The following is a 3,319-nucleotide window of genomic DNA, read 5'->3' as shown; positions in this document are numbered from 1 at the left end:
CCCATGTTAATGTATAAGTTTACTTTGACAAATGAACACATATGGAAACAATAAAGAATCTGTATCAGATATTTATTAAAGTCATTTGTAGTTGTTGTTTTAGAGATTGGGATGAGAAAATTAAGTAATTTTCAATCTCTGTTCCCTGGTTCAGAGAATGAATATGTTTTAACGATAAAATACACAACGGATCAGAAATAACATTAAACTGGTCAGTGAAAACTGACCAGAGAAATGTTGGATTTCCTACTGTAATGTCTATAACCCAGTACACCAACTTGGAATGCAAATGCAGATACAGCTTTTACATTTGTCTAATTAATTACTTTACTTGTGCATACTATGATTGCAGGAAGTCCAGCTTCTTCTCTTTTCACCTAAAATTGTCTGCACCTTAGCATTTTACAATAAAAGAAAATCTTCTTTGACAGTCCTTTGGAAACATAACTGGAATCTCATTGGTTCACCAATATTGTGCTTCCTTTATATTATCACTTTTGAAGTGATATTGCAGATTTAAAAGATAAAGCTTATAAGTGAGAAGACCTTCTTGGGTTCAGGTGACCATAGCATGCCTTATTGTGTGATTCAATTCTTTTTATCTTAAGTTTCCATACTCAGCCATTTTACTCAAGCCTAATCATTCTGCGAGAGTGACTGGGCACAAGGAATCTTCTATTAGATGCCATATGCTATGCCAAGACCAATCCTTCATGTATTTATTAATTCTTTCAATAAATGTTTACAGAGTGCCTACTTTGTATGTAATGTGTTTACTGTATTATTTATGAATATTCCATTCTGCTCAAAAAATAAGAGAAACAATTATATAAGAAGAATAGATGAAACTAACTACAGGAGCAAATAATTTGCATGCATTTTAAGACAAAAAGTAAGAAGAGTGAATATGTATGGGTAATTCATAAAATGGATATAAAGACCAAGTAGGCAGTATGTATACTTGAACCACTCAATGTTCTTAAACTATCCAATATTCATATGAAATTAAACTGGCCACCCATTGGTGATCCATGCTTGACTCTTCTGTTCTCCACCTGATACATGCAGATACAACCTATTGTTGCTCATTAGGTGATCAAGTAAGTTATAGCTATGTTCATGCAAATTTACCCCAGGTTTTTCTAATGTAGCAAGTTCTAGGCATTTTAAAGCTGCTTCCTCAACTCTGGTCCTCATAACCACACCATCAGTGGGAAAGACTGATGCAACATGTAATAGAAACAGATAGACATAATCAGACTCACTGTGTTCTCAGCAGCTACTATTGGATCAACGGAATTTCTCACCTCAACAACATATAAGTTGCTCCTCTAGGTTCTAGGGAGACAGCAATTAACAAAACCAACAAAAACTTCTGGCTTAATGGTGCTTGCATTCTAGTGGTGACAGAATTAAAACCTGAATATGACCATAAGTAATCAACCCTCATCATGAATGGAATATCTACTTTACATATATATATTTTTTAACTCAGTGATGTTTAATTTCAGGATTTTGTTGTTGCTGTTGTCATTCTCTTCCATGGGGCCTTCATTTGTACCACTCTGGCCCATTCCAATTCGTCTGTCTAATTTTTATTCTCCAAGGGTTTGGGGTGGGATTTCTTTCCTTGTACAGGCGCTGGGATTTTGAGGTAAATCAATTTACCAATTCCTTGGGCTTGAGAGTAAGAGGCCTCTTGGCTAATTCTCCTGAGTCTGTTATATCCTTACACCCAGCTTAGCCAATGGATGACCCTCACTTTACAATAGCAAAGAAAGAGAGGGTCATTTAAATGGCTCTTCTCTAAACAGAGACTTGTTCCAAGGTAACCTAGGAATTCACTCTGAGGCACTGAGGAGGCCAGATTGTATTGTTTTCCACTTAAGTGAGAGCTGTGGTCTGAATATTTGTGTCTTTCCCAAATACTCTTTTTTTTTTCTTTTTTTTGAGACAGGCTTTTACTCTGTCACCAAGGCTGAAGTGCAGTGGCACTGTCAGAGGCATTTGAATCAGAGCAACTCCATCTTGAATAGGGGCTGGGTAAAATAAGGTCGAGACCTACTGGGCTGCATTCCCAGGTGGTTAAGACATTCTAAGTCACAGGCTGAGATAGGAGGTTGGCACAAAATACAGGTCATAAAGACCTTGCTGATAAAACAGATTGCAGTAAAGAAGCTGGCTAAAACCCAACAAAGCCAAGATGGCAATGAGAGTGACCTCTGTTCATCCTCACTGCTACACTCGCATTAGAGCCATGACAGTTTACAAATGCCATGGCAATGTCAGGAAGTTACCGTATACGGTCTAAAAAGGAGAGGCATGAATAATCCACTCCTTATTTAGCATATCATCAAGAAATAACCATAAAAATGGGCAACCAGCAGCCTTCATGGCTGCTCTGTCTGTGGAGTAGCCATTCTTTCATTCCTCTGCTTTCTTAATAAACTTGCTTTCTCTTTACACATTCGCCCTGAATTCTTTCTTGCACGAGATCCAAGAACCCTCAATTGGGGTCTGGATAGGGACCCCTTTCCTGTAAAGCTCACTGCAACCTTTGCCTCCTGGGCTCAAGAAATCCTCCTGCCTCAGACTCCTGAGTAATTGGGATCACAGGCGCACATCACCATGCCTGGCTAATTTTTTTTTTTTTTTTTTTTTTAAATGTAGAGATGGGGTTTTGCTATGTTGCCCAGGCTGTTCTGGAACTCCTGGACTCAAATGATCTGCCCGCCTCGGCTCAAATTCAAATGTTGAAATCTAATCATCAGTGTGATGGTGTTAGGAAGCAAGGTCTTTAGGAGATAACTAGGTCATGAGGGCAGAGCCCTCATGTATGAGATTAGTGCTGTCATAAAAGAAGCCCAAGAGAGCTGCCTTTCCCCTTCCACCATGGGAGGAACAGTCAGAAGGCATCATCTATGAACTGGAAAATGGGCTGTCTGCAGATACTAACTGTACTAGCACCTCAATCTTGGACTACCAAGCCTCCAGAACTGTGAGAAATAAATTTCTGTCTTTTATAAGCTACCCAGTTTTTGGTATTTTGTTATAGCAGCCCCAAATGGATCAAGACAGTAAATTAAAACAATTAAACACATTTGTATTCACTTCTCATACCTTTGCCTAGGTCTTTCTGTAAATAAAAATCATTACTCCACCTTCAGACTTCTAAAATAAAAGCGTCAGAGCATATTGCTCAGTCGGGAACTGGGTAATTTCTATTGCAGAGAAGCCACAGTGTGAATGCTCTATAAAAGGGGTGGAGGCTAGTGGAATATATATCTTCTTTGCTCACATAATTCCATAGTACATAATA

The sequence above is a fragment of the Homo sapiens genome, chromosome 4 (genome assembly GCF_000001405.40).
Source record: "Homo sapiens chromosome 4, GRCh38.p14 Primary Assembly".
NCBI classification, from domain to species: domain Eukaryota; kingdom Metazoa; phylum Chordata; class Mammalia; order Primates; family Hominidae; genus Homo; species Homo sapiens.
The sequence above is the reverse complement of the archived record's forward strand: the minus strand, read 5'-3'. Positions refer to the sequence as shown.